The 22,812-nt window shown below is 54.3% G+C and overlaps 13 annotated features.

Annotated features, from left to right (window-relative positions):
• Positions 362-611: a silencer, noted in NCBI's record as "silent region_2474". NCBI's record gives its function as "represses an Ori minimal core promoter by ATAC-STARR-seq in GM12878 lymphoblastoid cells {active_cell/tissue: GM12878}" and the evidence as "EXISTENCE:reporter gene assay evidence [ECO:0000049][PMID:35858748]".
• Positions 3,895-4,094: an enhancer, noted in NCBI's record as "active region_3543". NCBI's record gives its function as "activates an Ori minimal core promoter by ATAC-STARR-seq in GM12878 lymphoblastoid cells {active_cell/tissue: GM12878}" and the evidence as "EXISTENCE:reporter gene assay evidence [ECO:0000049][PMID:35858748]".
• Positions 6,906-7,867: an enhancer, noted in NCBI's record as "H3K27ac-H3K4me1 hESC enhancer chr10:74084563-74085524 (GRCh37/hg19 assembly coordinates)". NCBI's record gives its function as "activates a minimal SCP1, AML or CMV promoter by ChIP-STARR-seq in primed H9 embryonic stem cells {active_cell/tissue: H9 hESC(primed)}" and the evidence as "EXISTENCE:reporter gene assay evidence [ECO:0000049][PMID:30033119]".
• Positions 9,793-9,842: an enhancer, noted in NCBI's record as "active region_3542". NCBI's record gives its function as "activates an Ori minimal core promoter by ATAC-STARR-seq in GM12878 lymphoblastoid cells {active_cell/tissue: GM12878}" and the evidence as "EXISTENCE:reporter gene assay evidence [ECO:0000049][PMID:35858748]".
• Positions 9,793-11,004: a biological region, named in NCBI's record as "P300/CBP strongly-dependent group 1 enhancer GRCh37_chr10:74081426-74082625".
• Positions 9,805-11,004: an enhancer, noted in NCBI's record as "P300/CBP strongly-dependent group 1 enhancer chr10:74081426-74082625 (GRCh37/hg19 assembly coordinates)". NCBI's record gives its function as "activates an origin of replication core promoter dependent on BRD2, BRD4, P300/CBP, MED14 and CDK7 cofactors, with strong dependence on P300/CBP, by STARR-seq in HCT116 cells {active_cell/tissue: HCT116}" and the evidence as "EXISTENCE:reporter gene assay evidence [ECO:0000049][PMID:35650434]".
• Positions 9,847-10,141: a silencer, noted in NCBI's record as "tiled region #4206; K562 Repressive DNase matched - State 5:Enh". NCBI's record gives its function as "represses a minimal TATA promoter and a strong SV40 promoter by Sharpr-MPRA in K562 cells {active_cell/tissue: K562}" and the evidence as "EXISTENCE:reporter gene assay evidence [ECO:0000049][PMID:27701403]".
• Positions 11,438-11,857: an enhancer, noted in NCBI's record as "active region_3541". NCBI's record gives its function as "activates an Ori minimal core promoter by ATAC-STARR-seq in GM12878 lymphoblastoid cells {active_cell/tissue: GM12878}" and the evidence as "EXISTENCE:reporter gene assay evidence [ECO:0000049][PMID:35858748]".
• Positions 11,438-11,901: a biological region, named in NCBI's record as "Sharpr-MPRA regulatory region 14427".
• Positions 11,607-11,901: an enhancer, noted in NCBI's record as "tiled region #14427; HepG2 Activating DNase unmatched - State 1:Tss, and K562 Activating DNase unmatched - State 1:Tss". NCBI's record gives its function as "activates a minimal TATA promoter and a strong SV40 promoter by Sharpr-MPRA in HepG2 and K562 cells {active_cell/tissue: HepG2 | K562}" and the evidence as "EXISTENCE:reporter gene assay evidence [ECO:0000049][PMID:27701403]".
• Positions 12,628-13,187: a silencer, noted in NCBI's record as "silent region_2473". NCBI's record gives its function as "represses an Ori minimal core promoter by ATAC-STARR-seq in GM12878 lymphoblastoid cells {active_cell/tissue: GM12878}" and the evidence as "EXISTENCE:reporter gene assay evidence [ECO:0000049][PMID:35858748]".
• Positions 13,538-13,587: an enhancer, noted in NCBI's record as "active region_3540". NCBI's record gives its function as "activates an Ori minimal core promoter by ATAC-STARR-seq in GM12878 lymphoblastoid cells {active_cell/tissue: GM12878}" and the evidence as "EXISTENCE:reporter gene assay evidence [ECO:0000049][PMID:35858748]".
• Positions 21,506-22,491: an enhancer, noted in NCBI's record as "H3K4me1 hESC enhancer chr10:74069939-74070924 (GRCh37/hg19 assembly coordinates)". NCBI's record gives its function as "activates a minimal SCP1, AML or CMV promoter by ChIP-STARR-seq in naive H9 embryonic stem cells {active_cell/tissue: H9 hESC(naive)}" and the evidence as "EXISTENCE:reporter gene assay evidence [ECO:0000049][PMID:30033119]".

Here is a 22,812-nt window from a genome sequence, read left to right as displayed (position 1 = left end):
CCACACATGCTGTTCCAGAACTAACTCCATCCAGGCAGAGGGGTGCTCAGGTGACTGGGGGGCTGCAGGACCTGAGCAGTCTGGGTCCCTGGGGTCCCCAGCGCCAGTCCTGGCTGGGCATCTGGGCCACGACCATCACCCTCTGCTTTTCCCTCTCCCAATCCCTCCCCCCCACACCCTCAGGCCTGCCATGTGCCCGCAGAGCATTCGAAATTCCCGGCCCCAGCCTGGAGCTCGATCCCACTCAGGAGCCAGATCCTGGGAAAAGTGTTGCGAGTTTGTTTCCATCGTCCTTCCCACCATCCTCCCCCAAACCGCCCCCGCAGCCCGCCCTCCTCTCCAGGAGGTTGAAAAAGTTTAAAATGTGGCAGCCCAAGTCGGGTCGGGCTCCTGTGAATGGAGCGGCAGATCTGCCCAGGCCTCCCAGAGACAGGGCCCGGCAGCCCTGACTGGCGGACCCAGGCCCCTCCCGCGGCTGCACCAGCCAAAGACAGGCGGGCTGCCCAGTGGTGCCACCGTGGCCCGGGAGCTCATTGGCTGCCCCTGCCCAGGGTCACCACTGCCTGCCCTGGTGTGCAAGCCGCCACTTGTTAGCTGCGGTTGGCAGAGGCGTTGCAGGCACCCCCATTCACCCACCTCATCCCCCCTGCCCTCCCTGTGTGGCTTGGCCGTGAGCCAGAGGAGGTGGGATGCACGCTCTGACTGCAGCAAAAAAGGCTTTGACAAGTGTCCCCCACCCACTGTCAGGTGGCAGAACGCGCCACTGCATCCCAGCTCCCTGGCTCCACTAGCTTATAGCCTTGTCCCTTGCTGCTCCCAGGTCCAGAGAAAAAAAAACTGCTCCAGGGACAAGGAGCACACACCCGACCTGCCTGTAACCTCATCCCCACCCCACATTGCCCAGACAAAGTCACCTGGCGTCTGGAGCAGGCACACAGCCATGCCAAGAATCAGGTAAATAGACTGTTGACATGGTTCAGAAGCAACCCAGCGTCCCTACCAGACATCACGCCATGTGACATGAGCAAGTCAGCTCATTTCCCAGAGCAGGAAACAGGCTTGGGGGAGGAAAGTGGCGCCCAGGGTCTTGAAGAAACTGTGCCTGTCTCTGGGGTCCTTGTAGCAGAGTGGTCATTCTACAAACAGTTGCTGAGCCCAAATTTGCTGCACTCAGGGAAATCAAACCCACTGGTGTCAGGTAGAGTGGGCAGAAGACCCGAGTCCAGGAGGGTGGAAAAGGATGAAAAGGCCACACTGAGGATGGTGGCACTTCATCTGATGGGCTTGGCCTAGGGAGCAGCTGCCCATTCCAGTAGGTGTCTCCTGGCAGTGACACGGGCATCCATCTGGCTGCACCAGGAAACGTCATCCCCAGGAGGCAGCCTCGCAGCCCCCACGGGGGCTGAGGCTGGATCTTTGCCATTTACTGACTGGGTGACCTTGGGTGTCCCTGAAGGAGTTCAGGAAATGCCACCCCAAAATCTGCCATTTTGGTGTGCTGATTACTTCAAACTGGGGGCACTTGAGCAACAGCAAGTGCAGGAAGGGCTTTCTCTGAAGTTGCCTCATCTGCCTAAGTTGTCCTGAACTCCCTCCTGGAAATCTTACCTACCAAGGAGGATTGACTCATTGACAACAACTGCCTATTATTCTTGGGGCTGCTCAGACAACTGTTAAGACCTGAGAGACTGACTTTTTTTTTTTTTTTGAGATGGAATCTCGCTCTGTCACCCAGGCTGGAGTGCAGTGGCGCAATCTCGGCTCACTGCAAGCTCCGCTTCCCGGGTTCACGCCATTCTCCTGCCTCAGCCTCCCGAGTAGCTGGGACTACAGGTGCCTGCCACCACGCCCGGCTAATTTTTTTGTATTTTTAGTAGAGACAGGGTTTCACTGTGTTAGCCAGGATGGTCTCGATCTCCTGACCTCGTGATCCGCCCACCTCAGCCTCCCAAAGTGCTGAGATTACAGGCATGAGCCACCATGCCTGGCCGAGACTGACTTTTTATCTGCATAACGAGACAACTTTTGCTCACCATGCAGTTCCTCCCCTCACCCTCCCAAACTTGCATTGCCATCACCCACCAGAAGCTCCCAGCCCGTTTTTTTTTTTTTTTTTTTTTTGGTTTTTTTTTTAAGGTACAAAGGTTATCCTGGACCCCAGTTCCTTTTCTGTAGCTCAAGATGTGATCTTTCTTGAAATTGCATATTTTGTGGGGCTCCCATGCCTATGTACGTAATTAAATATGATTTTTCTCCTGTTAACCACTTTATCTGTCCATGTAATTCCTAGCACAGTCAAAGACCCTAGAAGGGTGGAGGGAGCCAGTTTTTGCTTTCCTGTGTCATTTGACTGCCCTTTGCCTCAGTGTCTTCATCTGCAAAATGGGAGTGATACAAACACCTACCTCATAGGATGGTTGTGAGGAGTAAACAAGTTACCACATATAAAGCACTTAGAACAGTGCCTGGTACATGGCGAGTGCCATTTGGGTGTTTCTTGTTTGTCCTTAGTGGACAAAGATTAGCTGAGCAATGACTGGGTGTCAAGTCCCATTCCAAGCAGTGAAAGCTCCAAGGTGACTGAGACGAGGACTGCCCTTGAGTAGAAACCCTGGGAGCGGAGCAGTTGTGAAGGCTCTAGCCAGGGACTCTTGATAGAGGAACTGGCGTTTGTGAAGGAGGTGGGTACAGGCAGTACTGGGGTGGGGGTGGAGTGGGTGCTCCAGCATGAGCAGAGGCCCGGAGGCCGGAGAGTGCAGAAGTGAGCGCATTTGGGAGCAATGCCCAGGCCAGGCCCCCAGTCTGTACCTGTCATCATGCCAGGCCCACCCAGTGGCCTTGGGCAGAGAACTTTCCCAGGCATGAATGAGAGACACTGAGCTTCTCCACTCCTGGCTGCACCCTGTCCACTCAGCAATTCACTCAGCAAGCATTTCTGAACCTTTCTTGGTGGCCTGCCTGCCCTTAGGGAGGCTGCAACTAACTCTATAAGCTGAGAGAAGGCCATGTGGTGGAGGGGGTAACAGGGCAGACAGGACTGTCACTCCCGCCCCAGACCCTTGTAAGGAGATATTTCCCTAGGGACAGGGCCTGGACCTCCTGTCACTCTCACAGCCACTTGGGCATGAAATAAAGGTCCAGGGCTCAGGCAGGAAGAGGGGCAGGCGGGCAGGCGCTCTCTAGGACCCCACGGCTAGTCTGCCCAGAGCCCGGGAGTTGGGGCTTTGCTTGGGGAGGGGAGGGCCTGCCACATTTTGTCCACCTTCCCCACCCTCCTACCAATTTGGTCTAAACAAAGTCCCTAGGGAGGGAGGGCAGGGCTGCTCCCTGGCTGGATTTTTCCTTGAGGAGGCAGGGTGCAGCTCCCCACTGGAGCCCGTGCTAGTCAGAGCAGGGATCAGGCTAGGGCCTGCAGGGACCCCAGCTGGCAGTCCCACTACCTCGACTGGATTATTCTCATTTTCCTGATGGACTCAGATGAGGAGGCCTGAGAGACAGGTGCCTGGCAGCACAGGAGGATGCAGCGGGCTCCTTCAGATGGAGAAAGTGGGGCCAGAATGGAGCTGGCCAGGCCCGGCCTCATTCCCCCACACTGACAGCCCAAAACCTCCCCTGCACTCCTCCTGGCCCCACATACTGTGCAGGGCCCTCCCACCCTGACTGCAGCCTGCGGAGCCCCTCCCTCCACCGTGGAGCCCTGCTACCCGGGTTCCCTTCTGCCTGAGGTTCCTCTCACCCCTCAGGGCCCAACCTCCTGCCACCTCCTCAGGGAGGTCTGGCCTGGCCCTTTTGGGCCTCTCACATCCTGTTCTGGAGGTATTTGTGTAGTTCTTAGGCAAAGGCTTCCCTGGAGAAGAGGTTCAGGGCTGCAGCCCCAGGGCCTGGGCACCACAACCTGGGGTCTCCATGGGAGGCTGAGTGAAGGAAGGGCCCATCAGCACTGAGGCACTGTCCCCACCTGCAGCATTCCCAGCCTCGCCTACTCCTCTGCCCAGGGTCACCCTAGGGAGCTGCTTTGCAGCCATAAACCCACACCCTGGCTGGGGGACACTTCTCCCAGATCTTAGAGGGCTTAGACCCAGGGCCATCAGCCACGGTGTGCATCCAGCTGGACGGTGGCTGGAGGCAGCAGTCGCTCATGGGACGGGCACTGGGCGGGGGCTTTTTCCTTTTCCTGCCTCCGGGGGGAAGCAGAGTCCTGCTGATCCTGCTGAAAAGGCCCCAGGTCTCCTCTCCCTGCGTAAGGACAAATGTAGCAGGGGCCAAAATGAGAATCACAAACATTGGTCATTGAGAGGAGTGCGGACTCCTGTCCGAAGAGGTCACCACCCCAAGGGGTAGAGGAGGAGGCTCTCTCCAGCACTCAGGCCAGCCACTCCTGGAGTCAGACCCAATTCTGTCCCCGGCCGCCCCAGTGCTGCCCTGGCCACAAGCCCTGGAATCACCTCTGGCAGGCTCTGCCATCTGCTGGCTGCCAGCCCATGGCCTGCGTGCAGAAGGTGGCATCGTGGGCCCTAATTTTGCTTCCAGCCACAAGTCAAACAAGCCAGCTACCACCACTGCAGGGGCCACATGGGCAGCAAGTGTGTCCATGGTGTTCAGGCTGTGAGTGACAGGCCTTGGGAGGCCACCGCAGGTGCTCAGAGCTGCTTCTCTGTGGATGTCTTTAGTCCTCAGTCTCTCTCTGGTCCCACCTTGGCATGGAAGCACTGAGCCCAAAGATCGGAGTTCCAGCCTCCGCCATGGACACGCTAGGCCAGGAGGCACTTTTCATCTGTATCATTTACTTATAAAATCTTATTATCGGCTGGGTGAGGTGGCTCACGCCTGTAATCCCAGCATTTTTCGAGGCCGAGGCGGGTGGACCAAGAGGTCAAGAGATCGAGATCATCCTGGCCAACATGGTGAAACCCCGTCTCTACTAAAAATACAAAAATTAGCTGGGTGTTGGTGGCACATGCTGGTAGTCCCAGCTACTCAGGAGGTTGAGGCAGGAGAATGGCTTGAACCCAGGAGGCGGAGGTTGCAGTGAGCCGAGATTGTGCCACTGTACTCCAGCCTGGCAACGGAGTGAGACTCCGTCTCAAAAAAAAAAAAATCTTATTATAGGCTAGGCGTGGTGACTCACGCCTATAATCCCAGCACTTTGGGAGGCTGAAGCAGGTGGATCACTTGCGGTCAAGAGTTCAAGACCACCCTGACCAACACAGCGAAACCTGTCTCTACTAAAAATACAAAATTACCAGGTGTGGTGGCGCACGCCTGTAATCCCAGCTACTCAGGAGGCTGATGCAAGAGAATCACTTGAACCCAGGAGGCGGAGGTTGCAGTGAGCCCACGCCCTTGCACTCCAGCCTGGGCAACAAGATCGAGACTCTGTCTCAAAAAAAAAATCTTATTATAATTATCATCCCACAGACCTCACTAGTTCAGTCACTAAGGATGTCAGCCTCTGTCAGCCACTGAGTTTATAGGTGTCAGCCCTGCTAGCCTTGTGTCCGGAATTGGTGGGTTCTTGGTCTCACCGACTTCAAGAATGAAGCCACGGACCCTCGCGGTGAGTGTTACAGCTCTTAAGGTAGCGCGTCTGGAGTTTGTTCCTTCTGATGTTTGGATGTGTCGCGAGTTTCTTCCTTTTGGTGTGTTCGTGGTCTCGCTGGCTCAGGAGTGAAGCTGCAGACCTTTGCGGTGAGTGTTACAGCTCTTAAAGCGGCACATCTGGAGTTGTTCGTCGCTGGCTTCAGGAGTAGAAGCTGCAGACCTTTACAGTGAGTGTTGCAGCTCATAAAAGCAGCGTGGACCCAAAGAGTGAGCAGTAGCAAGATATATTGCAAAGAGCGAAAGAACAAAGCGTCCACAGTGTGGAAGCAGACCCCAGCAGGTTGTCACTGCTGGCTCGGGCAGCGTGCTTTTATTCTCTTATCTGGCCCCACCCACATCCTGCTGATTGGTAGAGCCGACTGGTCTGTTTTGACAGGGCGCTGATTGGTGCATTTACAATCCCTGAGCTAGACACAAAGGTTCTCCACATCCCCACCAGATTAGTTAGATACAGAGTATGGACACAAAGGTTCTCCAAGGCCCCACCAGAGTAGCTAGATACAGAGTGTCGACTGGTGCATTCACAAACCCTGAGCTAGACACAGGGTGCTGATTGGTGTGTTCACAAACCTTGAGCTAGATACAGAGTGCCGATTGGTGTATTTACAATCCCTAAGCTAGACATAAAGGTTCTCCACGTCCCCACCAGACTCAGGAGCCCAGCTGGCTTCACTCAGTGGATCGTGCACCGGGGCTGCAGGTGGAGCTGCCTGCCAGTCCCGCGCTGTGGGCCCGCACTCCTCAGCCCTTGGGTGGTCGATGGGACTGGGCGCTGTGGAGCAGGGGGCGGCGCTCATCGGGGAGGCTCGGGCCGCACAGGAGCCCATGGAGGGGGTGGGAGGCTCAGGCATGGCGGGCTGCAGGTCCCGAGCCCTGCCCCTCAGGAAGGCAGCTAAGACCCGGTGAGAAATCGAGAGCAGCGCCGGTGGGCTGGCACTGCTGGGGGACCCAGTACACCCTCCGCAGCCGCTGGCCCGGGTGCTAAGCCCCTCATTCCCCGGGGCGGCAGGGCCGGCGGGCTGCTCCGAGTGCGGGGCCGCCAAGCCCACGCCCACCCGGAACTCTAGCTGGCCCGCAAGCGCCGCGCGCAGCCCGGGTTCCCGCTCGCGCCTCTCCCTCCACACCTCCCTGCAAGCTGAGGGAGCCGGCTCTGACCTTGGCTAGCCCAGAAAGGGGCTCCCACAGTGCAGCGGTGGGCTGCAGGGCTCCTCAAGTGCCACCAAAGTGGGAGCCCAGGCAGAGGAGGCGCCGAGAGCGAGCGAGGGCTGTGAGGACTGCCAGCACGCTGTCACCTCTCAGCTTGACCCATGTCAACTTTGTATAAACACCCCACTGGGGGGGCCGGGGCCCCTCCCGGACCCGGCCTCACCCCAGGATCCCAAGCCCAGGCCTCTGCTTTCAGGACCCTGGGCCCAACATCCGCCCACTCCCTGCCAGCCTGGCTGCGGTGGGGTGGTATTGGAGCCTGGAGGATCGAGTTTCATGTCCTGCAGCTGCCCATATTATTAGCTCTGGAGGGGCAGCCGGGGCTGTAACACAATTCAAGGAACTGTTGACTTGGCTCGAGTTTCCAGCTCAGCAGCTGGGAGGGACGCGTGGAGTGGGGAGCAGGGACCTCTGGCTCCTCCCAACCCCCAGTGCCTGTTGTGAGAGCTAGAGAAGACTGCTAGATGACCGACTGAGTCCCTCCGGGCGCCATTGATGTCAGTACGGGCACTGGGGACTCTCTCACGGCCCTTGGGCGACCCCAGCCAGCTGCCTGGCTGCTGGCCTCCTCCCATACCTGTTTGTGCAATCTCGGCCTCCTCCTCTACCCACTGCCCCTGGCCGGAAGGTGATGGGGAAATGGGTAGCCCTACTCCTCAGCCTGGAAAAGGACGCCCCAGACCCCCAGCAGAAGAAGGAAAGTCCCCCTCCTCTCCGCCTCCCTCATCGACTCCTGCCTCTTTCTGTTGCTGGTGTCTGCAGGTGCCAGCACCCCCGGAGTAAGCCAGGGAAAACCTGGGCCTGGGCCAGGGCCCCAGACTGTGGCTCCAGGAAAGGACCTGGGCTCCTGTCCAGGCACCCAGCCCTGCATCCACAGGGGTATCAGTAACCAGCCTCCTAAGACCCCTGAGCCCCTCCCTTGTCTGCCAGTGGGAGTCACACCTTCCTGCATGCTGTTGGGGACTGAACATCCTACACACACCTGGAAGTGCCCCACAGGGTTGGCCATTGCATAGAAAGTTTTGGCCCGGTCCCTTCCCTGAGAAGGGACAAGGGACCTGTGGCCCTACTGAACTCTGCATAACAGACCTCACTGTCAGCAGAAACCAGCGATTAAGAATTTGAAGATTTTGGCCGGGCTCGGTGACTCACGCCTGTAATCCCAGCACTTTGGCAGGCCGAGGCGGGTGGATCGCCTGAGGTCAGGAGTTCAAGACCAGCCTGGCCAACATGGCGAAACCCCATCTCTACTAAAAATACAAAAAAAAAAAAAAAAAAAAAAAAAATTAGCCAGGCGTGGTGGTGGGCGCCTGTAATCTCAGCTACTTGGGAGGCTGAGGCAGGAGAATTGCTTGAACCCAGGAGGCAGAGGTTGCAGTGAGCCAAGATTGTGCCACTGCACTCCAGCCTGGGCGACAGAGCAAGACTCTGTCTCAAAAAATAATAAGGAAGGAAGGAAAGAAAGAGAGAAAGAATTTGAAGATTTCAGCACGGAATGGATAGTACCAGAACATGCTGGGCTTGGGGTCTAATTACTGGGCTGCCTGGAGAAGGCAACAAGGACAACATCCTTGTCCTGAAGGCATAAATCACAGAGTGTTAGAGGCGGCAGGCTGTGAAGACGGGTTCTCAAACTGTGTCCCCAGAGCCCTGGGCCCCCAGGGGTGTGGGGTAAGAGTGGGAGGGCCCCCGGGGCTCCAGCCCACCCGTCTCAGTCACCCGCTGTTATCTCTTGTTTAGTGCAGGTGGAATTGTGACTGAAGAAGGGGTTCCATGGCCAAAATAAATATTTAAAAAACAGACCCCTAATCTACCCCCACGATCTCACCACTGAGGAAATCGAGCCCCAGAAAAGAGAAGTGACTTGCCAAGGTCGCCCAGCTCAGCGGTGTCGGAGCTGCTGCCTGGGACACAGACCATCCCCCCGCCCCAACCCTGGGCTGTGGACCGTGGATGAGGAGGACAAAGGTGGGCCGGGGGTGCAGGCTGTCCCCAGCAAGGTCTGGGCCTCAGCCACGGCTCCCCTGACCTAACCCCCTAGGGCAGGCCTCAGGGCCAGGAGCTGGGTTGTCCCTGAAGGCAGCCCCAGACCCTGATCTAGGAGGGCAGCGGAGTCCTCTGTCCACTTCTCTGAGCAGCCGAGAGTTCTCCAGGTTGTCACCCTGGCGAGGCCTCTCCAAGTAACCAACAAGCCCTGCCAGCCTGCCAGTTAGCCATCGCCACACTGTCTCCCATTCCTCCTTGCAAGTACCCGACAGTCTGCAGACCTGGGGCCAAGCTTACCTGAGGCACATCCTGGGCTCCTGTCATTATTTCCTGCTGTTCCTGGTTGCCTCCCCCTGCCCTGCCCTATGTGGGTAGGTGCCCTTCCTCTCCCAGCCCCAGCCTCTGCTAACCTGTCCACCCAACCCCATGTTGACAGGCCCCTATCCTCCCTGGCCAAAGTGGCTCACAGGTCTTCCAGCCTGCCCCGGGGCTCTGGGTTCTCACACAGCCCAGCCCAGCCTCTTTCCAGTTGAGATGGACAAGGTGATGCCCTGACCTGAGAGAGCAAGCTGGCCAGGGGCTGGGTCCTGCGGCCCTGACTAGGTGAGACTCCGTCAGGAAACCAAAACAAGCTCCCCACACCTGCCCTCTCGCTAGGATATACCTTGCAATGCAGCACCAGGGTGGCCAACCGTCCTGACTTGCCTAGGACTCTCCTGGTGAGCACTGAGAGTCCCGAGTCCCCAGAAACCCCTCAGATCTGGGCATTCTGGGACAGCTGGCCACTCCACTGGGACACACATCCCAAGGGTCATCACACCTTTCCTGTCCCCACTGAACCAGGTATTTTTTCTTTCCATAACACTGGTCACTCACAAAGACAGGGTGGGGCCACAGGCAGTCCCCTTCGCCTGTCTGGCTCCCTCAGACTGGGCTGAGGCCGGCCACAGGCCCACAGTGCAGTCCGAGGCCTGATGAGGTCTGCTGAGTTGAGCAGAGGCTCCACAGTCCATCAGAGACCCAGGCCTGTTAGGTCCTGTGAGATGGAGAATGGAGGAGCCCAAGAAAGGCCCTGGGCTCCATCCCAGCCCTGTGTTGTCCCCAGGTTGGGGCAGGCCTGAGGTGATCCCAGGAAGGCAACCCCAGCGTAGGAACCAGGCCTGCCCGGGGCCCACTGAGGCTGCCTCTACCTGTCTGGGCTTGAGGTGAGTCACTTCCTCCCTCAGCTGGTATGTGATGGGGAGGGGAGGGTTGGGGAGGGGACAGCATCTAAAAATAGCAGGGCCTAGACTGGTGGAAGATGCCCGAAGAGCTTCCCCTTGGACCAGGGAGGACCTGGCTTCCCATGGAACCGCCATCAGCCACAGCCCCCACCAGGCCCTGCGTTAGGCCAGGGAGGGAGATGGCCAAGACCTCCCCCACCCTTGCTTCTCAGGCTCAGAGCCCCCTTGAAGGCTGAGTCTCAGGAGCAGCGCCGGATGGGGTAGGAGCTTGGAGAGAGAAGGCCTCCAGCAGACAGTACTCGTTCATTCCCCTCCCTGTGCACGCACACAGATGCACGCACACAGAGACACAGGCACGTACCCTCGCCCAGCCCGGCTTCATGAGTCATCTCCCTCATGCCAGGACTCATCTCCCTGGTCAGCAGGGTGGACTGAGGACCCACTGTGTGCTTGAGCCACACCCTGGAAGACAAGGAAGCCATGCTCATGACCGTCCCTGGCCTCGGGGACTCCACATCATAAGAGGCCACTCAGGAAAGAGGAGAACACCCAGGGCAAAAGCAAGAGGCAGGCAGGGGGTGTGTGGTGGATGAGCTGGAGTCCGGAAGACCTGGTTTCAAATCCTGGCACTCACCCTTTCTAGCCATGTGACCAGACAAGCTATTTGACTTCTCCTGCCTCCGCTTCCATCTATATAATGGATGCCACGTATGGCCCTCGTCATATGTCAAATACAATCATGCATATAAAGTCCCCAAGCAAACAGAGCTCTTGCCATCAAAGCTTATGGTATCAGGCTAGAAACCTTGGGGGCGGGGGCACTTTGAATATGTCAGTAGACCTTTCTATCCCAAGGACTTACTGTGACATTCCACCTGGCCCCACCTGTGATAGGGAAAGGGGGAGGGGAGGGGAGGGAGAGGAGCTGCCGCTCACAACAGTGCTGGCCTCTACTGTGAACACTTGATATCGTTCTCATTTTCCCCCAGCCTCACAACAGCTTTACAAAGTAGGCATCGCTATCCCCATTTCACAAGTGGAAAAATGGAGACCCAAAAACATTCAATCACCTGCCCAAGGTCATGCAGCTGGCCTGGGGCAGACGCCAGACTGGGGCCCAGATCTGAGTGTGATCTCCTTGTGCACTGTGGGATGAGGCGGGGTCTGTCATGCCTGGGGTCGGCTGAGGGTGCAGGGGTCTCTGACTCTTTTGGGAGGAGCCCCTAGAACCCCCTGCCTGAGGTGACTATGGAATATGCTGAGCCTTTGGCCAGGGCTGCCTTCCTCCTGTCTGGTCCCACCTCCCCCACCCGGACCCCCCCGGCCAGCCCTCAGACCCCTCCCAGAAACACGGAAGGGCTCCACTCCCTCTGGGAGTTACCACCTTCACTTCCAACTTCAGCTAGGTGAGGGAGGTACTGCAACCCCTGAGTGACAGAAAAGGCAGCCGGATCAGAGGGGTCAGGAACCTGCTGTCATGCTCGCAGAGCTGGGGAAGCAGAGCCTGGACAGAGCCCCAGCTGCTCAGACTCCTAAGCTGCCAGTCTGGATCCCACACCCCGGCTGTCGGGTAGGGTTGGGGACTTCTCTGCTCCCCCTGCTCCTCACGCTTCCCGGAGCCATCCCTGTTTGTACCGGCTGGGGTTACATGCAAAGTGCAAGCCTTGCATCAGCCAGATGGGCCCCGCTCTAGTAAGAGCTGCTTTCTGCCTCTCTGCGCCTTCCCCACCGTTATCTGACTCATCCCCTGACAGTCCCAGGAGACTAGAGAGAAGCCAGGCCTCTTATCCCTATTGCACAGATGGAGGGACTGAGAGAGGAAGTGACCTACTCCAGTGACTCAGGGCAGCAACCCAGGCTGAGGAGGCCACAGGTGTAGCTGGTGTGGCCTGGGGAAAGTTCCCGGGTGCCACACAGCCAGATAAGCAGTTTTTAATGCCTCACAGCAGGCACAAATATCAACCGATGTGTGTCAAATGAACGAAGGAATATTGCAGGCCCTGGGTGAAAGATGAGGGGTGATATTGAGGAAAAAATAAATATGATACAGGGAAGGAAAAAAGAAGCCGGAAACCCAGACATGCCCCAGTTGCAGCCTGTGAGCCCAGCTGGCTTTGTAGCTCCCAGTTCCCTTCTCTTTAAGAATCTTCATGGCTATCACTTACTGGGTGAGTGCTAGTGACTCTGATATAACACTTTGTAGCCTTTTTTTTTTTTTTTTGAGACCAGGTCTCACACTGTCGCACAGGCTGGAGTGCAGTGGCGTGATCTTGGCTCACTGCAGCCTTGACTTCCTGGGCTCAAGGGATCCTCCCACCTTGGCCTCCCAAAGTGCTGGTATTACAGGAGTGAGCCACCACACCCGCCCCTATAGCCTCTATCTTATTTCATCCTGACAACAACCCAGTGATGCTATCATCCTCCCCATTTAACAGATGAGTTATCTGAGGCTCAGAGAGGTTACACAGTTCTTGCTCCAGCCGGCACGGGACCACATTCCAGGGGCTGACTTGCAACTGCTCTCCAAACCCGGCAGGGCAGATGTGCCCCTGCGCGTGCGATACCCACGTGGGGCTGCCCAGGTGTGTCTGCGGGTTGGCACCAGCTCCTGGTATCTGTCAGAGCAGTGAGGGGGTGGTGCGACAGGAGCGGAACCGAACGCCAGTGGCCGGGATGGATAATGAGCCAGGGCGCCTGGGCTGCAAGGGGGCTTGGGCACGCGGGCCTACCCGTGTGCGCAGGCCCTGGGCGCCCCCCGCACCGGGCGCCCTCCCCGAAACCCAGCCACGACTGCGGAACTGGGGGCGGGGCCAATGCTGGAGGCAGGGCCCGCCGGCGCCGGGCTCCCACCCCCCAGCGCCCGCTGACAACCCGCGGCGCGTTGCCAGCGATTGCCCCATCAGGCCGCATCCGCTTTCGCAGCCCTGCACGTTGTGCACACAGCGCGCCGGCCTGGGCGGGGCTGCTTGTCCCCGGCCCCCTGCCCCCCACCCGCGGCCCTCGCCCGGCTGCCTTCTGCCCCGGCTGAGACCCGGGCCAGACTGAGTCCCTAGCGGCCCATTACCCCGCCGGGCTCGTCCCAGACACCTTTGATGGCTGCCCTTTGCCCCGTCTGGTCTGAGCGGACAAACGAGGGAAATTGAGTAAGCCAGCTCAGCAAGACAGGAAACTCCTGGCCGCTTTGTTACTCATGATTTTCAGCAACTTGGGGAGTGGGGGGCAGGGGAGGGGAGTCCTAGGGGAATTTCTGTAGTTCAAGAAGTTTGGGGGCTCCAGGACTGGGAGTGCCCTCGGGGAGGTCTACCTCCCGGGGCAGGTCTATTTCCCAGGCCAGGTACCGTAGTTGGCACTAGTAAGTAAGTGCTCCACAAATTCGTGTTAACATGCATTTTCAAGAATGCAATTTATTTAATTTTCAAGTCTTCAGTCCCAGCTACTCCGTAGGCTGAGGCGGGAGGACCCCTTTAGCCCAGGAGGTCAAGGCTGCAGTGAGCTACGATCTTGCCACTGCATTCCAGCCTGGGTGACATAGCTAGACTGGTCTCAAAAAAAAAAAAAAAAAAAGGCATTTTCTCACCTACCTGCTTTGAGTGCCTGCCAGAAAGAATCTCCAGGTGAAAGGGGACAGGTTTAGGGCTGGAGCTGAAGGCTGGCATTTGGGGTTTGAGGTTCTGCGTTTGGCATTGGTTTGCTGTTTCACTTGGGCAAATCTCTTGGCCTCTCTGGGCTGCGTTTCTGTAGGGAATCAGTAATAAGGCAACCTGTCTGGCTCTAAGGCTCAGAGGCACGGGGCAGGCTTTGAATTTCCAGCAAGCAGGAGAAAGAGCCTTTGATTTGAAGCAGAGATTTCCTCTTGAACATTAATATTCTGGGCTTTTCCAGGCTGGAGCTTTAGAACCGCTGTTACTAAACTAAGTGACATGAGTAGCCCCCCGTTGCTTACAGAATTTCTTGGCTTGGCATTTGGGGTTTTCTCACGTTGATTCTACCCTGCCTGTATGGCTTAACCCCCAACTACACCCCTACACTGTAATTAGGAAGAGCCTCAGACTTCCCCACACACCCCACACAATGTTCAGACTTCTGTGCCCTCACTCATGCTGTTCCTTCTGCCCGGAATGCTTTTCCCTACACTCTTCAAATGATTGGCTCTTTCTCATATTGATCCCCACATAAATGTTACTTGAGTAGAGATCCTGTTATTAACTCTCAGAGCTTCCTGTTTTCTCTCTTTAGCTCTTACTGCAGTTCAGAATTCGAAGTTGCTTTCTCCACCGGGCTGAAAGGTCGATGAGGGAGAGATCATGTCTGTTTTCCTCATCTCCACATACCCAGCACTTACCAAGGTGCCTGGCATACACTAAGAGATCAATAAATATATATGGAAAGGGGCCGGGCGCAGTGGCTTATGCCTGTAATCCCAGCACTTTGGGAGGTCGAGGCAGGCAGATCACCTGAGGTCAGGAGTTGGAGACTAGCCTGGCCAACGTGGTGAAACCCTGTCTCTACTAAAAATACAAAAATTAGCCGGTTGTGGTGACACGTGCCTGTAATCCCAGCTACTTGGGAGACTGAGGCAGGAGAATAGCTTGAATCCGGGAGGCGGAGGTTGCAGTGAGCCGAGATCATGCCATTGCACTCCAGCCTGGATGACGAGCAAAACTCCATCTCAAAAAATAATAATAATAAAGGCCAGGCACGGTGGCTCACACCTGTAATCCCAGCACTTTGGGAGGCCAAAGAGGGTGGATCACAAGGTCAGGAGATTGAGAGCATTCTGGCCAACATGATGAAACCCCGTCTCTACTAAAAATACAAAAATTAGCCAGGTGTGGTGGCGCATGCCTGTAATCCCAGCTACTCAGGAGGCTGAGGCAGGAGAATCTCTTGAACTCAGGAGGCGGAGGTTGCAGTGAGCCGAGATCACATCATTGCACTCCAGCCCAGGCAACAGAGTGAGACTCCATCTCAAAAAATAATAATAATAATAATTAAATAAATAAATAAATATGGAAAGGAGGAAAGAATGAATGATTGATTAGCAAAACATGAAAACATTTTCTAAAAAGATGGGTGGGCATGCATGTATGTAAATAAAGACATAGTTATGTCTGTAAACATAAGAAAAAGTCAAGACAGTATACAACAACCTAATTCCCCGCAAGGAGTAAGATGCAGATTTCTGATGGTTTATTGTATATTCAAGTCTTGCTTAAAGGTCATCTATTCTGTAGGTCTCTGGTCCTGCCTGTGTGCTGTGCTATATCTGAGCATGCTGCCAGGCACCCTGAAGCCAGGCCTGATGCTCCCTCCTGATCCAGTCCTAATGATCCTGCCTGAGGCCAGGCAGAGGGACAGATGGCAGCAGCCCCTCGTGTGCCTGAGTTTGTCCACTGGTGCAGGTGAAAGCAGAGATGGTAAGGACAATGACAGTGCAGGACTGACACCAGGCCACCCATCCCCACCCAGCAGGTGCCATCGCCGCACGTGGCCTTGGGCTATCAGCAGAGCTTCAATGTGACAGGAAGCCTGGCCTCCTGCAAGGCTGGGCCCAGCTGGCTCACTTCCAGGTTCAAGACAGAGCCTCGGCTGTGGGAGGCACAACAGGCAGCTTTTCACTGCTCTCGGGGTGCCTAGGTGAGGGGCAACCTTTTTTTCTTTTTTTTGAGATGGAGTCTCATTCTGTCACCCAGGCTAGAGTGCCATGGCGCAATCTCGGCTCACTGCAGCCTCCACCTTCCAGGTTCAAGCGATTCTCCCACCTCGGCCTCCCAAGTAGCTGGGATTACAGGCAAGCACCACCATGCCCAGCTAATTTTTGTATTTTTAATAGAGATGGGGTTTCACCAGGTTAGCCAGATTGGTCTTGAACTCCTGACCTCAGGTGATCCGCCTGCCTTGGCGTCCCAAAGTGCTGGGATTATAGGGGTGAGCCACTGCGCCTGGTCCTCCAGGAACAACCTTGTGTGAACAAAAATCCTCTTGCCCATTCTGTGTCCCACAGCAGCTCCCGTGAGACCTGGAACAACACGGTTCAGACCAACTGGGCCAGAGGAGAGGAAGGAAGAGTGGCAGAGGGCTCAGGGTCAGATGTCTGAGCTTCTGTTCCCATGGGTGCCTCTCATTATGCTTGTCAGGAAGCAGAAGAGAGTGCAACCTTTGACCTCATCTGAACTAACCCATCTCACCCTGGTTTCTCTTCCCTGACTGTCTCCGAACCTGTTACCCCACTTGGAAAATCAGGGGGTAGTGCAGGGGTGAACCCTCCATTCTGGAATCACCCAGCCTCCAGTGGTTTCAGGTCCACACCCACCAGTTGTGTGACACTGGACAACTGGCTTTGCTCCTGCTCTGCCTCAGTTTCCCCAAAAAATTAGTTAATGCATGGAAAGTGTTTAGAAGAGATCCTCATAGACAGTAAGTGTGTCTGTTCCCTGTAGTGTCAGCTACTAACTGTATGGCTAGGAAAATAACAGTAACTCCCTCATCAGCTGTGCTGAGGATTCCATCAGATCATGTATGTAAAGTGGTTGGCATAAGCACACTTAGTGTTCAGTGTTTACTTGTCTTACTAAAGATCACAAAATGGGGCTACAGATCTTGGTCCCTGAAATGCTGGGGCATGAGCACGGTAGCTGCTGGGGGCTTCCTGGGAAAGGAACACAGGCCTTCCATGTCCCTGGGAGCCACATTGGTCTGATGGTGTTACTGAGTGTTGTGTTGCTGAACTGTCTGCTTAGTCACCTGCCTGCTACCTCAAACACATTTAAACCAACTCCTTCTGGACTGGCTTTCCCAATATACTATCCTGGCACTGTCACAGGCCTAGAGCACTGGGCAAAGTGTCAGACCTGCTGCAAAATACAGTTGGAACTTTATCTGACCCTTGGCTCCTGTCCCAAGCAGAAATATATTGGCAGGAACTTGCAGCAAAGCTGAAGCAAGCCTGGGAGCTGGAGGAGGAAGGTGGCCTGGGATGGCCAACCACATACTCCCCCCACGCCCTCCATCCTTGTTGGCCCCCCTTTTTATTTATACAGTGTTGCTAATTAATGCCATTCTTAGTTATGAAGCCGTGTTACAAACCTAGGGCTTAACTGTGAGCCCTGGATTTGTAGAGAAGGGATGGAAAGAGGGGAAAGAGAACCATTCCCCAAAAACTCAGGGAAGTACACTGCAGAGATTTCCTCTTTCTTCCCTCAGTGTCATTTGGAGCCGACTTTCTGGAGGCCAGGACAATCTTTTGCACAGTGGTGCTGTCCGGAACTCCCCCGAAAGAGCCCATGACAATGGCAGCAGGGACAGCCATGCCAGATTGGAACTTGGCCAGCTATGGAGGGGAGAATGTCTCAGCCTGGGTGTCTCCACCCCAAACCAAGGCCAAGGGCAAAGGCAAACCTCTCTTCCCTCCCGGTTCCATTTGGCAACTCCTGCAGGGAGGTCCCAGGCAAGTCTAGGAGGTCCCAGGCCAGTCTTAACAGGTCTTCCTGCAGGTACTCCTGGAAGGCCATTGTCTTAGAATAAAAGGAATTCCAGGGGCACCTCACCACAAGCACACGTTTGAGCATTCAAAAGAGCTCGAGCTCGTGAGTGAAAGGAAATGAGGAAAAAGAAACAATGTGGCATGACCAGAAAGAGTTCTACATGTTAAGTTGCTTTTTCTTGCTTTCTTTTTTTTTTTTTTTGAGACGGAATTTCGCTCTTGTTGACAAGGCTGGAGTGCAGAGGCGTGATCTGTGCTCACTGCAACCTCCCCTTTCCTGGTTCAAGTGATTCTCCTGCCTCAGCCTCCCAAGTAGCTGGGATTACAGGCGACCACCACCACGCTCGGCTAATTTTTGTATTTTTAGTAGAGACAGGGTTTACCATGTTGGCCAGGCTGGTCTTGAACTCCTGACCTCAGGTGATCCACCCACTTCGGCCTCCTTAAGTGTTGGGATTATAGGCGTGAGCCACTGCGCCCGGCCAAATTGCATTTTCTTTTTTCGTTTTTTCTTAGAGACAGAGTCTCACTGTGTCACCAGGCTGGAATACACTGGTGTGATCAGAGCTCACTGCAGCCTTGATCTCTCACGCTTAAGCGATCCTCCTGCCTCAGCCTCCCTAGTAGCTGGGACTACAGGCATGTGCCACCATGCTCAGCTGATTGATTGATTGATTGATTGATTGAGACAGGGTCTCGGTCTATCGCCCAGGCTGGAGTGCAGTGGCACAGTCTCGCTTGCTGCAACCTTCGCTTCCTGGGCTCAAGTGATCCTCCCACTTCAGCCTCCCAAGTAGATGGGACTACAGGCACTCACCATCATGCTCAGTTAATTTTTAAATCTTTTGTAGAGACGGGGTCTCCCTATATTGCCCAGGGTGGTCTCAAACTCCTGGGCTCAAGTGATTCTCCTGCTTTGGCCTCCCAAAGTGCTGGGATTACAGATGTGAGCCACTGTGGCTGGCCCTAAATTACATTTTTTGAAGGTCCAAAATTCCCATAGCACAGGTAATACTGTCAAGGCCTTAAGCTTGGCTGGACGCGGTGGCTCACGCCTGTAATCCCAGCAATTTGGGAGGCCGAGGCAGGTGGATCATGAGTTCAGGAGATGGAGACCATCCTGGCGACATGGTTAAACCCCATCTCTACTAAAAATAAAAAATATTAGCTAGTTGTGGTGGTAGGTGCCTGTAGTCCCAGCCACTCCGAAGGCTGAGGCAGGAGAATCTCTTGAATCCAGGAAGGGGAGGTTGCAGTGGGCCGAGATTGCGCCACTGCACTCCAGCCTGGGGGACAGAGTGAGACTCCATCTCAGAAAAAAAATAAAAATAAATTAAATAAAAAATAAAAAATCTTAAGCTTTACAGATTTGGAATTCATTAGGTTCAGAATGTTTAAAAAATCAGCCTGGTCAAATTTGAGTATAAACTGGATATGAGATGATATTATGGAACCATTGTTAGTTTTCTCCCATGTGAGAATGGCAATGTGATTATGGAGAGCAGCCTATTCCTAGGAAATTCTCAAGTATGTGACTTCTCAAATGGCTCACCAGGAAAATTTTACACAGATCAAGCAAATGTGGCAAAAACTTAACCAGGCTGGGGCACGGTGGGTGGCTCACGCCTGTAATCCCAGCATTTTGGGAGGCTGAGGTGAGCAGATCACCTGAGGTTGGGAGTTCGAGACCAGCCTGACCAACATGGAGAAACCCCGTCTCTACTAAAAATACAAAATTAGCCGGGTGTGGTGGCACATGCCTGTAGTCCCAGCTACTTGGGAGGCTGAGGCAGGAGAACCGCTTGAACGGGGAGGCAGAGGTTGCGGTGAGCCAAGATCATGCCATTGCACTCCAGCCTGGGCAACAGGAGCCTGGGCAACAGGGCGAAACTCTGTCTCAAAAAAAAAAAAAAAAATCTTACATGGAGAGTAGCTATTTTTACAAAGTTTATTAAGTATTTGTCTGGAAATAATGCTGATCATTGAAAAATCCTTTAAGTTCATGGCCGGGAGAGGACTCGTCTTGGAAACTGGGAGATTTCTACCCTTTTAACTGCTTGGTATCAGATTTAAACACAAATTAAGAAACACATTTTGAAGACCTACTATGAGCAAAGTTACTCTGAGCAAAGCACTGAAACTTCACAGAATGTGTTTTCCCCGTGTCTGTAATCTGATAGCGAGTACAAGGTAGACACTTTTTTTTTTCATTGTGGTTGCTACAAGTTGGATAATGTTCCCTCAAAACTATTATGTTGAATACCTAATCTCCAATACCTCAGAATATGACCTGATTTGGAAATATTTAGATAGGGTCATTACAGATGTCATTAAGTTAAAACGAAGTCAGTAGGGTAGACCCTAACCCAGCGTAACCAGTGTCCTTAAAAAAAAGTGGGGGAATTGGGGGGCTGGGCGCGGTGGCTCATGCCTGTAATCTCAGCACTTTGGGAGGCCGAGGCAGGGGATCACGAGGTCAGGAGTTCAAGACCAGCCTGGCCAAGATGTTGAACCCTCATCTTTACTAAAAATACAAAAATCAGCTGGGTGCGGTGGCAGGTGCCTGTAATCCCAACTACTCAGGAGGCTAAGGCAGGAGAATTGCTTGAACCTGGAGGCAGAGGTTGCAGTGAGCCAAAATCGTGCCACTGCATTCCAGCCTGGGTGACAGAGTGAGACTCCATCTCAATAATAATAATAATAGAAGGAGGAACTTTGGACAGACAGAGAGACACACACACAGGGAGAGGGCCATGTGAAGATAAAGGCAGAGGCTGGGGTGATGCTTCCACCAGCCAAGTCATGCCAGTGATGGCCAGGAAACCTCCAGAGCCAGACCTAAGACATGGAACAGCTTCTCCCTCCCAGCCCTTGGAAGGAACCAATCCTGCTGACACCTTGATCTTGGACTTCTAGCCTCCAGAGCTGCAAGACAATATATTTCTGCTGGTTAAGCCCCCCAGTTTGCAGTAATTTGTTACAGCAGCCCTAGCAAATCAACACAATGGTATAATAACATATACATAACATGTACATTTTAACCATTCTTAAAGTGTAGCATTCACATTGTTGTACCATCATTTTTTTTTTCTTTTTCACTGGAGCAAAATCCAGGGCGGTGGGAAACTTGGAAGCCCTAGTTCCAGATCTGCTTCTGCTGAGCTGAGTGACCTGTTTCACGTGTGCAAGGAGGAGACAGGGCGACGGCTTCCTGCACCGAGGCAGTCACTGCCCATGTGTGGAGAACTTGTAATAGCAGTCATAGCTCTCAACTTACCGAGTGAGTACTGTGTTCCAGGACCATGCTAAGGGCTTTACGTGGCTTATCTCTTTGAGTAACCACAGTAACTTTATCAGGGAGGTATTACTAGTCCCATTTTACAGATGGGGAAATTGAGCCTCAAAGAAGTTAATTGATTTGCTCACTTTTGGCAGGGATTTGAATGCAGGTCTTTTTTTTTTTTTTTTTTTTTTTTTTGAGACAGTCTTGCTCTGTTGCCCAGGTTGGAGTGCAGTGGCGCGATCTCAGCTCACTGCAAGCTCCGCCTCCCGGGTTCACACCACTCTCCTGCCTCAGCCTCCCGAGTAGCTGGAACTACAGGCGCCCGCCACCACACCCAGCTAATTTGTTGTATTTTTAGTAGAGACAGGGTTTCACCATGTTAGCCAGGATGGTCTCGATCTCCTGACCTAGTAATCTGCCCACCTCGGCCTCCCAAGGTGCTGGGATTACAGGCGTGAGCCACCGCGCCCGGCCTTGAATGCAGGTCTTAATTAAGCTGCTCAACTGCCTTCTGGGTCTTTTGGCCACACGGGCCTAGGACAAAATAAAAAGCATAAAGTATTGATCAGATTGAAACGGTTTGTGTTTTCACCCAGTGAGCCAACTGCCTTAAAGCCCCACCATGCACGTCACACAACTAGGCCCCTCTGTCCCTTGCCCCAGAATTCCAGAGAGGGACTCTGAAGAGTCCAGGAATTCCAGATTCAAACCTGGCTTTCCAGGTTTTTCTGAAATTCAGAGGGGAGGTAGAAGATAGAATTTATTTTATATGACAGCTGATTAAGCTTGGCGTACACATTTTGAATATGTACACACCTGGTGTGTGGTTCTCCATTTGTACTCTTGCCTGGGATCCCAATGATTAGGGGCAACCCATTTACCATGGTGCTCCGGAGCCAGCAGCTCTCCAGTGGCTCCCAGCAGTGGGCAGAGCTTGAAAGTCTCTGCATGTAGGAAAAGGGGAAATCCACAGTTGCTCAGCACAGACCAGGCCAGGATCTGCCCACCACCCCTCTCACAGATTTCCACCAAGAGCAGGAAGTAAGGTGGTGCTGCTTAGGGCAATGTCACCCCAGGCACTGGCTCTCCAGCATGGCCTGACTTGGCGCTCCACCCATGCTGGCACTTGCTCCTCAGGGACAGCCAGGGCGCTCTTCCGCTCAGCCCAGATTTTTCTCAATCCTCAAATCACATTTGTGTTCTTTCCCTTCTGCATCCATCTCTCTGTTTCCCAGGATAAAAAAGACTGGAGCAGGTTTGCCGGCCAAGAAGGAGAGACTGAGTTGAAGAGGCAAGACAGAGAAGGGCTGCTGATGGCCAGGGGAAGACGGGGGAGGGCGAGCAAGGGGCAGAGCAGGAGGGGACCGGTTGTTATGCCCATTTCGCTGGTGAAACATGAGAAGCAGACAGGTGACATTCCGGGATCAGGGTCAGGCAGCCAGGATGCTGTGAACATGAGGTGAGGCTGACAGCCGGCCTCGGAGAGGAAAACCACGGGCCAGATTCCAGAAAGACTCCAACAATACTCACCCCACCCGCAAGGCTCCCGCTGATTCAGCACTTCCTGGGTGCCTGCTCTCTGTCCTAACCACAGACCCTATGGAAAAGCCCATATAGAATCTAGAAAGCCCTTAGAGAGGCTATGGATAATTATCTTCTATAGGTCATCATTATCCCCATTCTACAGTGAGGCATCTGATGCCCAGAGAGGTGAAGTCAATTGCCCAAGGTCACACAGTAGCAAGTGATAGATCCCCAGCCCAGGTCGGAGGGAAGAGTGTGTGCTGGCCTGGTTCACAAGTGTGTGCCTCCACCATGAGCACACACGTACATTGAGAAAAACCCACAGAGAACATGTGTGTCGTGCGGGATGAAGGGCCTGGTTCCAGGCAGCAGGGAACAGCTGTGCTGGCAGGAGCGGGTGAGAATGTGTGTGTGAGCAGGGCTTTGACAGCGGCAAACAGCACGTGGGAGTGTGTTGACGGCAGGGTGTGGGTAGCAGTGCCATCACCATGTGTGTTTCTGCTGGC

This window comes from Homo sapiens, chromosome 10, assembly GCF_000001405.40.
Source record: "Homo sapiens chromosome 10, GRCh38.p14 Primary Assembly".
NCBI lineage: Eukaryota > Metazoa > Chordata > Mammalia > Primates > Hominidae > Homo > Homo sapiens.
This window is presented reverse-complemented; position numbering and strand designations above follow the sequence as displayed.